The sequence below is a fragment of the Homo sapiens genome, chromosome 12 (genome assembly GCF_000001405.40).
Source record: "Homo sapiens chromosome 12, GRCh38.p14 Primary Assembly".
In the NCBI taxonomy this organism is placed as follows: domain Eukaryota; kingdom Metazoa; phylum Chordata; class Mammalia; order Primates; family Hominidae; genus Homo; species Homo sapiens.
The window spans coordinates 6,636,807-6,649,168 of record NC_000012.12 but is presented as its reverse complement, the minus strand read 5'-3'; the positions used below and the strand labels follow the sequence as shown (position 1 = coordinate 6,649,168).

Below are 12,362 nucleotides of genomic sequence, written 5' to 3'. Positions count from 1 at the left end.
TTTCACCGTGTTAGCTAGGATGGTCTTGATCTCCTGACCTCGTGATCTGCCTGCCTTGGTCTCCCAAAGTGCTAGGATTACAGGCATGAGCCATCGCACCGGCCAAGTTTCACCATTTTGGCCAGGCTGGTCTCAAACTCCTGGCCTCAAGAGATCCACCCTCCTTGGCCTCCCAAAGTGCTGGAATTCCAGGAATGAGCCACAGTGCCTGGTCTCTATTTTATTAATTTATTTTATTTTATTTTATTTTTGAGACAGGGTCTCACTTTGTCACCCAGGCTGGAGCACAGTGGTGAGATCTCAGCTCACTGCAGCCTTGACCTCTGAAGACTCAGGTGATCCTCCTACCTCAGCCTCCCCAAGTAGTAAGTGGGACAACAGGCGCACACCACCACACCTGACAATTTTTGTATTTTTTGTAGAGACAGGGTTTCGCCATGTTGCCCAGGCTGGTCTGGAACTCCTGGGCTCAAGGAATCCACCCGCCTTGACTTCCCAAATGCTGGGATTACAGGCGTGAGCCACCAAGTCTGGCCCAAGACAATTTCTTGTTTTATTTTTCTTTTTTACTTTTGCTTTTGGGTGGGGACAGGGTCTCACTTTGTCACCCAGGCTGGAGAGCAGTGGCCCGATTGCACCTCACTGCAGCCTTGGCCTCATGGGCTCAAGCGATCCTCCCATCTCAGCCCCCCAAGAAACTGGGACTACAGGCACGTGCCACCACGCTTGGCTAATTTTTTGTACTTTTTGTAGAGACGAGGTTTCGCCCTGTTGCCCAGGCTGGAATTTCTCATTTTAAACACAAAACAGATACAAAAGCAAAAGTTCTCCTCCCATACCTCAGTGGACTGTCTTACTCGATTCTCCCTTGGAAACCACTTTCGTAGACCACTGAGCCACCCTCTTGTTTTCCCCTTGGACCCATTTTGCTCATGGAGGCGCCCTGTCTAGTTCCTACCCAGATAGGCCTTGACTTGGTTTTGCACATTCTATCTCTGCCTGCGCTTAGCTCTAGACCTCACGACCTGTTTGTTGGGCGAGTTGCTTCCCTAAGCCCCGATTTCTCATCTGTAAAACGAATGATAGTGTATCTACCTTATGGGATTCCTATGGCAATTACGTAAGGTAGTGCATGTAAAGATGCTAAGTGGCTGGCTACGGTGGCTCACACCTGTAATCCCAGCACTTTGGGAGGCCGAGGTGGGCAGATCATTTGAAGTCAGGAGTTCAAGACCAGCCTGGCCAACATGGTGAAACCCAGTCTCTACTAAAAATACAAAAATTAGGCCGGGCATGGTGGCTCACGCCTGTAATCCCAGCACTTTGGGAGGCCGAGGTGGGCGGATCACAAGGTCAAGAGATCGAGACCATCTGGCCAGCATGGTGAAATACCATCTCTACTAAAAATACAAAAATTAGCTGGGCGTGGTGGCGTGCACCTATAGTCCCAGCTACTCGGGAGGCTGAGGCAGGAGAATCACTTGAACCTGGGACGCCGAGGTTGTAGTGAGCCGAGATCGCACCACTGCACTCCAGCCTGGGCGACAGAGTAGGACTCCGTCTCAAAAAAAAAAGAAAAAGACGCTAAGTGAAGGTAGCTGTTTGCCATTCCTACCATCTGGATGGGCTCTGGCCACTTTAGGGCCCTGAGAGCCCGGCTGTCGAGGCCCCGCCCCGGCCCGCTCTTTGTGACGCGTGGGCGGTGCCCGCGTGCGCCCCGCCCCGCGCCTGCGGCTCTCTCTGCGGCTTGGCCCGTTAGAGGCGGCTTGTGTCCACGGGACGCGGGCGGATCTTCTCCGGCCATGAGGAAGCCAGCCGCTGGCTTCCTTCCCTCACTCCTGAAGGGTGAGAGGTTTACACCTGCTCCAACAGACTCTCCCCGGGCTAGTCCTCTCCCTCCCGAGAGCTCTGCTTTTACGGTTTCTGGATCGCTTCCTCATGGTGGTCGCGCTGGGTCGGCTCCCTAGGTCCTGGGATACTCCCATCTCCCCCCGCCCGCGGCCGGACCTTTGCCTCTGTCTCTAGACTCCCCCCGCCCTGGTCAGCAGGGATAACCCTCACCCCGTTCCTAATTTGCCAGTCTGGGTCTGTCTGTCCTGGTCTCGGAGCGGGTTTTGGGGTTCGGTCCTTCCATCATCCGTTCGCCCGCTCCGCAGTGCTGCTCCTGCCTCTGGCACCTGCCGCAGCCCAGGATTCGACTCAGGCCTCCACTCCAGGCAGCCCTCTCTCTCCTACCGAATACGAACGCTTCTTCGCACTGCTGACTCCAACCTGGAAGGCAGAGACTACCTGCCGTCTCCGTGCAACCCACGGCTGCCGGAATCCCACACTCGTCCAGCTGGACCAATATGAAAACCACGGCTTAGTGCCCGATGGTGAGGGCCAGACTAGGGGGGAAACCGAGGCACCCAGAGTGTTCACCCAAACCTCAGGGCAAAAACCCCTGTGCTCATGTGAGGCGGGGAAGGGCATGGCTGGCACCACACCATGAGCTCGTACTCTCCACCCTCCCCATGGCGTGGAGTCCATTGCCCACAGCCCCACCCCAAGCTCCCCACGGGTTCATCTTCTCCACCCCTGCCCTTTCTCAGGTGCTGTCTGCTCCAACCTCCCTTATGCCTCCTGGTTTGAGTCTTTCTGCCAGTTCACTCACTACCGTTGCTCCAACCACGTCTACTATGCCAAGGTGAGGCCCAGGACAAAGGTTGGATTTGGTGCCCCAGGGCCAAGGGAGAGGCGGCAGCAGTGGGGAGTTGAGGAAGGGTTCCAGGAGAGTCATCCTTAGCTCCTCCTTCCCTGCCATTTTGCCAGTCATTTACCCAGATTATATATGAATACAGTCTCACCTTGGATATTCAGATTGAACAATTCTGTTACTGCAAGAAAAGTAGAGAAGAGACTGGGCATGGTGGCTCATGCCTGTAATCTCAGCACTTTGGGAGCCCGAGATGGGCAGATCACCTGAAGTCAGGAGTTCGAGACCAGCCTGGCCAACATGGTGAAACCCCGTTTCTACTAAAAATACAAAAAAAAAAAAAAAAAATAGCCGGGCTTGGTGATGGGCGCCTGTAATCCCAGCTACTCGGGAGGCTGAGGCAGGAGAATTGCTTGAACCCGGGAGGCAAAGGTTGCAGTAAGCCGAGATCATGCCACTGCACCCTATCCTGAGTGGCAGAGCAAGACTGTGTCTCAAAAAAAAACAACAACAGGGACGAGTGCGGTGGCTCACGCCTGTAATCCCAGCACTTTGGGAGGCCGAGGCAGGCAGATCATGAGGTCAGGAGATCGAGACCATCCTGGCTAACACGGTGAAACTCTGTCTCTACTAAAAATACAAAAAATTAGCTGGGCGTGGTGGCAGGCGCCTGTAGTCCCAGCTACTCGAGAGACTGAGGCAGGAGAATGGCGTGAACCCGGGAGGTGGGGCTTGCAGTGAGCCGAGATCGCGCCACTGCACTCCAGCCTGGGTGACAGAGTGAGACTCCGTCTCAAAAAAAAAAAACAAAAAAAACAAACCCAAAACCCAAACAAAAAGAAGTAGGGAAGAGGGATGGGAAGAGGCAAAGAGATAAGCCCTTACGTTTCTTCGAACAGGTCAGTGATTTTGAGTCAAATGCAAAAGTGACGGCAGGGATGTGGCCCAGACAAACAGAGATTCATCTTCTGAAGGGACCCTTTCTCAGGTCTAGAGGGTTCCAGCAGGGACCATGTCCCTTTATCCCTGCCTAGAAACTGAGAGATAAGACATGCTGGAAAAGGGGTTGAAGAACCAGCTGGAGCAGAAGTCTGCCCTTTAGGAAAGGCTTTCCCATTTTCCTTCTCTTCCTGCAGAGAGTCCTGTGTTCCCAGCCAGTCTCTATTCTCTCACCTAACACTCTCAAGGAGATAGAAGCTTCAGCTGAAGTCTCACCCACCACGATGACCTCCCCCATCTCACCCCACTTCACAGGTGAGACCCTCTCAGCAGCCGGGAGACCACCAGCTACTCCCACAACTCCCAGAGCCCACAACGTAAGGCATCCATGGCAGGGAAATGGGAAGCATGTTGGGCGGGAAGGGGGCGCCAGCAGACAGCTGTTTACACAAAGGAGTGTCAGCTTTTTATGAATACAAGTTAGGGCTCTCCTGGACCAGAATCTCTTCTGCCATTACTTACAATTTTGCCCTGAATCCATTTTTCCCAATTCCAGAGACATTGTTGCATTACAAAGGACCTCTAGGCCCTTTATAAGCTAATGTCTTCACTTTAGAAAGGATTGACTGCTAGCTACTCAGCATACTTGGTGTTTCCTAAGGGAGAGGGACAAATGGTGGTATTTGAGGTGGAAGTTAGGGAAGGAGGAGTGCTTGCCAGGGAGGTGGGAAGGTGATGCATACCACCAGCCTTACAGTTGCCGTGGTAATGTTCTTTTAGTTTAATACTTATGTTCTTTTCTGTGTTTTTCTGTGTGTATAAGTGTGACTTGGTCTGCTTTGTTTATGTGTGTGTCCCTCTGTGAACAAAGACACTCAGGGGCTAGAAGCCTGACTGTCTCTCTCCCTTCTCTCTAAACCCTGCTGTAGTGACAGAACGCCAGACCTTCCAGCCCTGGCCTGAGAGGCTCAGCAACAACGTGGAAGAGCTCCTACAATCCTCCTTGTCCCTGGGAGGCCAGGAGCAAGCGCCAGAGCACAAGCAGGAGCAAGGAGTGGAGCACAGGCAGGAGCCGACACAAGAACACAAGCAGGAAGAGGGGCAGAAACAGGAAGAGCAAGAAGAGGAACAGGAAGAGGAGGGAAAGCAGGAAGAAGGACAGGGGACTAAGGAGGGACGGGAGGCTGTGTCTCAGCTGCAGACAGACTCAGAGCCCAAGTTTCACTCTGAATCTCTATCTTCTAACCCTTCCTCTTTTGCTCCCCGGGTACGAGAAGTAGAGTCTACTCCTATGATAATGGAGAACATCCAGGAGCTCATTCGATCAGCCCAGGAAATAGATGAAATGAATGAAATATATGATGAGAACTCCTACTGGAGAAACCAAAACCCTGGCAGGTATAGGAAGTTTTGACTCTGTCATCCACCCTGCCCTCCCTTCTGCCTTTCTTGGGAGTGAGAAGCCCATTTTCCTAGCTTCAGCCTCCAGATCCACTCAGACCTGTCTGGACTTCAGGCACAGCTAGCAACTGCCTCACCAATTCTGTGCCCATTGTTGGCTTAAGCACTGCTCAAATGCTTATTCTCTATGTAAGCCCTGTACCTGGAGCTACCAGACTTGGGTTCTGGTCTTGTCTCTGCCCTGTTTAGCATTGCAATCCTGAGAAAGTAATTTCTCCTTTCGGGTCCTCAGTTCCTCATTTGAAAAATGAGGCGATTTGTCCAGAGGCCTCTAAGGCCCCATGCTAAGCATGCTGAATGTGTGTGACCAAAGCAGACACTAAGGGAAGGGGAAGAGACTGGATGTAGTTTCCTGCCCGGGCCACCTGGCCCAGCCCCACCCTCAGTGCTGTCTTCTTGCAGCCTCCTGCAGCTGCCCCACACAGAGGCCTTGCTGGTGCTGTGCTATTCGATCGTGGAGAATACCTGCATCATAACCCCCACAGCCAAGGCCTGGAAGTACATGGAGGAGGAGATCCTTGGTTTCGGGAAGTCGGTATGCCAGCCATACTGTCTAATGGATACATGCCACTGGGCATCCTCTTGGCCAGGCACTGTGCTAGGCTATGGGAGTGGAGGATGGGCAGGAGAAGCATGAGACATAGCTGGAGAGATTCTCTCCAAGTGGGACTCTTTTCTTAGGAAGGGCATTACCAGTCCACTTTAAAGGAGGAAGGCTCAAGACCCAGTCTGAAATGCAATCCAGTCCAGAATTCATTCTTCACCTCTTCACCTCCCTGAGTTGCCAGGCTTCCAGATTTCACTCCTTTTTTTTTTGAGACAGGGTCTTACTCTATTACTCAGGCTGGAGGGGAGTGGTGCGATCATGGCTTACTGCAGCCTTGACCACCTGGGCTCAAGTGATCCTCCTCTCATCTCAGCCTCCCGAGTAGCTGGGACTATAGGCATGTGTCACCATGCCTGGCTAAATTTTTTTTTATTTTTTGTAGAGATGGGGTCTCCCTTTGTTGCCCATGTTTGTCTAGAACTCCTGGGCTCAACCAATCCTCCTGCCTCGGCCTCCCAAAATGCTGGGATTACAGGCATGAGCCACCATGCCCAGCCTTGAGTCAACTCTTGATTCTTGATCCACCTCACCATCTTCCTAGCTTTGCCTTAGATGCAGCTCTTCTTCTTTCCAGAGAGTTCATAGAACCCATTCCAGGGAATCTGTAAAGAGATTCCAGTCTCAATGTGTCCTCAACAACCAGCAAGTCTACTCCCAGGAAAATATACCTTAGATTTTCACAAATAATACAATTTAGCAAACATTTTTCGAGAGCTCAGATACCATCCATTCATCTGTTTGTTCAACAAATACTGATTGGGAGGACAAGAATAACATAAAAATGAATGAGGTAGAGCATACTTGTCCTATATAAATCCAGACTTTCTATAAAGCTCAAGTAACTAGGATAATGTGAAATTGGGATGGTGACAGACAAATAGACTACCCAGAGCCCAGAAACAGATTTTCTGTGACTGATTTGTGGGAAAAGAGGAACTCCCATTTATGGTACTGGAATGATGGGTTAACCATGAGGAAAAAATGAAATTGAATTTCTATCTTACACCCAAAGATTTGGGTGTCCCCTGCAGATAGATGATCACCTAGGAGTAGATACACAAAAAACATTTCAAGATGATTTAAAGACTTAAGGGTTTCACACCATATACAAAAATTAACTCACAATGGATCAAAGACCTAAATGTAAGACCTAAAAGTGCCTGTAAAACTCTTAGAATAAAACTTAGATGTATCTTGTCATGAAAAAAAATACTGATTGGGGACAAACTCTACTAGATATTTAAGATGTTAGCAGTATGTGCAATAGAGCCAGTCCTCTGTCCTCTTGGAATCTAGGGCAGGAGAGAGACAAGGAAATATGCAGGATGGTGTGATGGGATCAGTGCTGTAGCAGGGATAGGCACAAAGTACAGAGAGCAGATGGGGTGGGTTGGGGACAACTCTCCATGTTTGGGAGGATCAGAGGGTGCTTCCAAGAAGAACTGATGTTTAAACTGAGACCTGAAGATAAAAGAAGTGAATCCAGGCAAAAGAAGGGGCTTGGTAGAAGATTCCTGATAGAGAATAGTATGTGCAAAGGCTATGATGCAAAGAAGAGTAGAAATTTCTTTTGTATTTTTTTGTAGAGACAGGGTCTCGCCATGTTGCCCAGGCTGATCTCAAACTCCTGGGCTCATGGAATCCATCTCAGCCACTTCCACTCAGCTGGAATTACAGGCATGAGCCACCGTGCCTGGCCCAAAGAAGAGGTAGAAATTTCATGAGTGAAATTAGTATGCTAACAATGAGCATACTGTTTCTGCTCTTAAGGGGCCAAGAACCCATGAGGGAGTTAATATGGATACAGTAATATTACAAAGGGAGTGTGGTCGGTGAGGTTCTTAAACAAAATGCAAGAAGTTCAGGGTTTTATGGAGGGAGCTCACTGGATTTGATGGCTTAGATAAGAGGACAGTAAGGAGGGAGTCCCTTTTACCTGGAGCAGAGCAGCAGGAGACAGAGTCAAAGAGATCAACAGGGTCATGACGCAAAAACTCTTGAATGGCAACATGAGCATTTGCACTGAATTTGATAGGAAAGGGGAATCCAATAAAGATTTCTGGCCAGGGACATGATGCCTCCGTTATGTGGGAGGAGCAGGCAAGGTGCCATAGGAGATTGCATGCACTGTGACAGGCTGTGCCCATGGGGGAGGAAGGAGGACCGTGGGATTGACTAAAGATACTGCTTAGTACGATCTCCTGCTAGTGCTGAGGAAGCTGAGGGCAGAACCCAGCTGGGAGATTGGTAACTCCACTCTGAAGAATAGCTTCCAAGAACTTGGAGGTTTCCAACCCAGGTACTTGGATAGAGCATAGGTTTTAGAGTTGGAAGGACCTGGACCCATGTCCCAGCTTCCCCATCTGTTAGATAAGTGGCTTTGAGCAACTTACTCAACCTCACTGAGAGTCAGTTTCCTTGTCAGTAAATGAGAGTAATATTAGTATCTCTGCTGTTATAGGGTTGTCGTGAAAACTAAATGAAATGAGAGCATGTGTAGCCATAGTGCTGGCACTGGGTCACCTCTTTGTAAATATTAGCATTATCATTAGCAGAGGTGGCAGGGGAGGGTTATGAGTTCTTTTCAGATAGGCTAAGTTGGGGTATCTGTAAGATCACCCAATCACAGACATCTGTCAGGCACTTGGCAATGAGGATTTGGAGCCCAAGAGAGAGATCAGAGCTGGTGATAAAGATTTGGGTGTCACTCGCAGATAGATGATTACCTAGGAGTAGATAAATCATCCAGGAAGAGGGTGAAGAAATAGCTGAGGCAAGGTCCTTGAGGAACCCTTGGGGAGGAGGCCAAGTAGAAAACCCAGAGAAGCTTTTGGAAGAGGCTAAATGCAAAGACATTCTGCAGGGCCCACCCTGGAGGGCTGAGGCATGGGAGAAGGCAGGCCGCTGACTCTCAGCTTCAGCCTCACCCATTCCCCTGCCCCAGGTCTGTGACAGCCTTGGGCGGCGACACATGTCTACCTGTGCCCTCTGTGACTTCTGCTCCTTGAAGCTGGAGCAGTGCCACTCAGAGGCCAGCCTGCAGCGGCAACAATGCGACACCTCCCACAAGACTCCCTTTGTCAGCCCCTTGCTTGCCTCCCAGAGCCTGTCCATCGGCAACCAGGTATCTAGCCCGGCAGCCCGCAGTGGGAAAGGCAGAACTGGGTGGCAGGGGTGGGGTGGTGGTGGCCAGCAGGTGGGGAGGGGCACGCACCTCTCCCCTATCTCCTGTGCCACAGGTAGGGTCCCCAGAATCAGGCCGCTTTTACGGGCTGGATTTGTACGGTGGGCTCCACATGGACTTCTGGTGTGCCCGGCTTGCCACGAAAGGCTGTGAAGATGTCCGAGTCTCTGGGTGGCTCCAGACTGAGTTCCTTAGCTTCCAGGATGGGGATTTCCCTACCAAGGTTAGAACCTTTCCCCAAAGCTCAGCCCCATCCCTACCCTCACCCCATTCCTTCCAGTTACTTGCTGTGAGTAGCGCTAGTTTGTGGAAGGGGGCTTGGGCCCCTGGCTTCTGAGAACCCGTCCTCACTGAATCTCCTGCCTCTCTCCAAGAGACCATTGCACCCCACCCCACCCTCCACCAATAGAGCAGGCAAAGGAGTGGGGACCCAGAGGGCTGAGAAAACAGGAGCTAGAGGTTCTGGTCCCAACTCTGCCAGTTACTTGCTGGGTGGCTGTGATCAAGTCACTTCCTACTCAATCAAAGAGTCATCTCTACAAGAAATGACTGAGTGACACGTGCACCACTGCCCAACCCTGTGATCCAGGACTTCCCGGCCTTAGCCTGACGGGCTTCCCAGCTCTTCCAGTGCCTTCCCTGCTCAATTAAATCAACTTGGCTCCCCGTTCCCCTGAGTTACCTCCCCTGTGGAATGACCTGTTGTTTTAGATCCAGGCCTCTCCTCCTGTAGTTAGCAGGGAAAACCAAGGCAAGGAAAAGTAAGGGCAGCTGAAGCAAGGGCTGGTAGCTGAGCTGGGGGGCCCATGTCCAGCTCTTGTCCCTGGGCCCCTTGATCTGGAATGGGGAGGCGAGGTCCAAAGAAGGCAGTGACTCACTTCCCCCTTCCCTTATCTACCATTACCAGAAAAATCCTTGACATCAGGCCACTAATCGGGTCCCTGTCCCATGTTCTGGACCCTTATCTACCCCGTCCTGCCCCATTCCCGCTTCCTCAGCCACTTTCCCAGTAAGCTGACTGGCAGCCTCATACTCTCCCAGGCTCCTGGCTTCTTCCCAGCAACCTGTGACAGAGCGGCAGGGGAAAGGCAGAGGGAAAGCGGAGTGAGGGGCCGCCTGTGTGTGGAAGACCTGGGTCTTGGGCCACACCCTGCCCCTGGCTCTGCCCTAGCAGATATTCCCTGGAGTGCTGCTGCCTGGTGAGGCTTCTGATACCCTCTTCCCTCTCTCTGGCTCTTGGCTTAGATTTGTGACACAGACTATATCCAGTACCCAAACTACTGTTCCTTCAAAAGCCAGCAGTGTCTGATGAGAAACCGCAATCGGAAGGTGAGCACCCCTGCCCTGCCCCTCCTTCTCCCAGCACCCCCTCAATCAGTCACCATAACTGGTCTATTCTGAGGCCCCCTCTGCGAGCAGCTAGGATGTGGAAAGCGGTTCCTGCTTGCATCTCTGGGGCAGAGGCCTCCACCAGCAGGCTCTCCTCCATTCCTCCAGTCCTGGCGGAAGCAAGGCCCTCCTAGGCAGCTGGTGGATAACAGAGGAGGGTCCTAAGAGCACCACAGGAAGAACCCTTGGCTGGGCCAGGACTTGGACGTTGAGGTCTCGGTCTGTCTCCTCTTCTTACTCACCAAGTAGCCTGGGATGAGGCACTTCCCCCTCTGAGCCTCAGCCGCCTGTTTCTGCATGAAAGGGGTTGGGCTGCTTGATGTCTCCTCTGGCTTTAAAAACCCACATTTGAGTTTCCTCCTTCCCTCTACTGCCCTGTGCCCATGCCTGCCCACCTCTCGTTCTTTTGGGCTTCTGACACCTCCCCTCCTCCCCACTCCTGGCACCTGGCTCTGTGATACAGACCGTCTGCACTGAATCTCTGTGTAGGTGTCCCGCATGAGATGTCTGCAGAATGAGACTTACAGTGCGCTGAGCCCTGGCAAAAGTGAGGACGTTGTGCTTCGATGGAGCCAGGAGTTCAGCACCTTGACTCTAGGCCAGTTCGGATGAGCTGGCGTCTATTCTGCCCACACCCCAGCCCAACCTGCCCACGTTCTCTATTGTTTTGAGACCCCATTGCTTTCAGGCTGCCCCTTCTGGGTCTGTTACTCGGCCCCTACTCACATTTCCTTGGGTTGGAGCAACAGTCCCAGAGAGGGCCACGGTGGGAGCTGCGCCCTCCTTAAAAGATGACTTTACATAAAATGTTGATCTTCAGCCTGTGTGGCCTGTTCTGGTTATGATCCCCATCCTCAGCACTGCTACCCTGCCCCGTGGCAGTCAGTCCCCAACCCCTGGTTTTATGGATCCACCTGCCGGTGAGAGAATCTCATGGGAATGGTGCTCAGGGAAGCAGCCATCTGCCAGGAGAAGCAGAAGACCTGAGAACCCAGGGAGGTGAACTGAGGAAGGCCAAGAAGGCTGGGGCCCTAGGGATGATGTGGGCATGTGGGCACCTGTCTTCATTTCTGAAGCCCTAAGCCCCGTGATGTCAGATGCGAGTGTAGTATTGTTCCTCTGTAGGATAAAGGCCAAAGCCTGATGAGATCTTTTCCAAAGGGACCAATCCTGGGGTATAGGGAGTGTGCACCTTGCACTTAATCAGGAAGGGAAAAACCAGGAACTATAGCCTAGATCAGGAAACCTTGGGGTTGTTTTTGTTGTTGTTGTTTTGTGTTTGAGACAGGGTCTCGCTCTGTCACCCAGGCTGGAGTGCAGTGGCATGATCACCACCCACTGCAGTCTTGACCTCCTGGGCTCCAGCCACACTCCTACCTCAGCCTCTCAGGTCCCTGTGACCACAGGAATGTGCCACTAAGCCTGGCTAATTTTTATATTTTTTTGTAGAGATGGGGTCCCTCCATGTTGCCCAGGTTGGTCTCGAACTCCTGGGCTCAAGCAATTTTCCCACCTCGGCCTCCCAAAGTGCTGGGATTACAGGAAGGAAACCCTTGGTGTACAGGAATTTGCCAGATGATCTGGATGTTTAAGTGGTTGCATCTTAACAACCTACATTGAGGTATGACTCCAGCATTGGCCTTTATTATTATTATTATTATTAGTGAGACGGAGTCTTGTTCTGTTGCCTGGGCTAGAGTGCAGTGGCACTATCTTGGCTCACTGCAACCTCCGCCTCCTGGGTTCACGTGATTCTCTTGCCTCAGCCTCCTAAGTAGCTGGGATTACAGGCGCACACCACCATGCCCGGCTAATTTTTTGTGTATTTTTAGTAGAGAAGGGGTTTCACTATGTTGGCCAGACTGGTCTTGAACTCCTGACCTCGTGATCTGCCCGCCTCGGCCTCCCAAAGTGTTGGGATTACAGGTGTGATCCACCGTGCCTGGCTCAGCATTGGCCTTTAATAAGTTGACATATCCCAAAGTATGTTCCAGGGACACTGTAGAGTCTCTCTCCCTTCTATAGGTTCGCAGTAATTAACAGCATTTTGTTAAAGCTTGCTTACTATGACAGTTCAAACATGCACA

At 51.6% G+C, this 12,362-nt stretch overlaps 1 protein-coding gene across 1 annotated transcript, besides 3 other annotated features; it reads left to right on the top strand.

The window, feature by feature from the left end:
• Positions 1,737–11,094, top strand: ACRBP (acrosin binding protein). The gene is made up of 10 exons (NM_032489.3): positions 1,737–1,845; positions 2,157–2,375; positions 2,592–2,686; positions 3,832–3,949; positions 4,564–5,032; positions 5,498–5,630; positions 8,647–8,826; positions 8,942–9,109; positions 10,132–10,215; positions 10,765–11,094. Exons 1-10 carry the CDS (start codon positions 1,803–1,805, stop codon positions 10,885–10,887), a joined length of 1,632 nt encoding a protein of 543 aa, NP_115878.2. The 5' UTR covers positions 1,737–1,802; the 3' UTR covers positions 10,888–11,094.
• Positions 1,803–2,316: an enhancer, noted in NCBI's record as "H3K4me1 hESC enhancer chr12:6756019-6756532 (GRCh37/hg19 assembly coordinates)". NCBI's record gives its function as "activates a minimal SCP1, AML or CMV promoter by ChIP-STARR-seq in naive H9 embryonic stem cells {active_cell/tissue: H9 hESC(naive)}" and the evidence as "EXISTENCE:reporter gene assay evidence [ECO:0000049][PMID:30033119]".
• Positions 1,810–1,879: an enhancer, noted in NCBI's record as "active region_5873". NCBI's record gives its function as "activates an Ori minimal core promoter by ATAC-STARR-seq in GM12878 lymphoblastoid cells {active_cell/tissue: GM12878}" and the evidence as "EXISTENCE:reporter gene assay evidence [ECO:0000049][PMID:35858748]".
• Positions 10,273–10,332: an enhancer, noted in NCBI's record as "active region_5872". NCBI's record gives its function as "activates an Ori minimal core promoter by ATAC-STARR-seq in GM12878 lymphoblastoid cells {active_cell/tissue: GM12878}" and the evidence as "EXISTENCE:reporter gene assay evidence [ECO:0000049][PMID:35858748]".
• Positions 11,095–12,362: the final 1,268 nt, after the last annotated feature.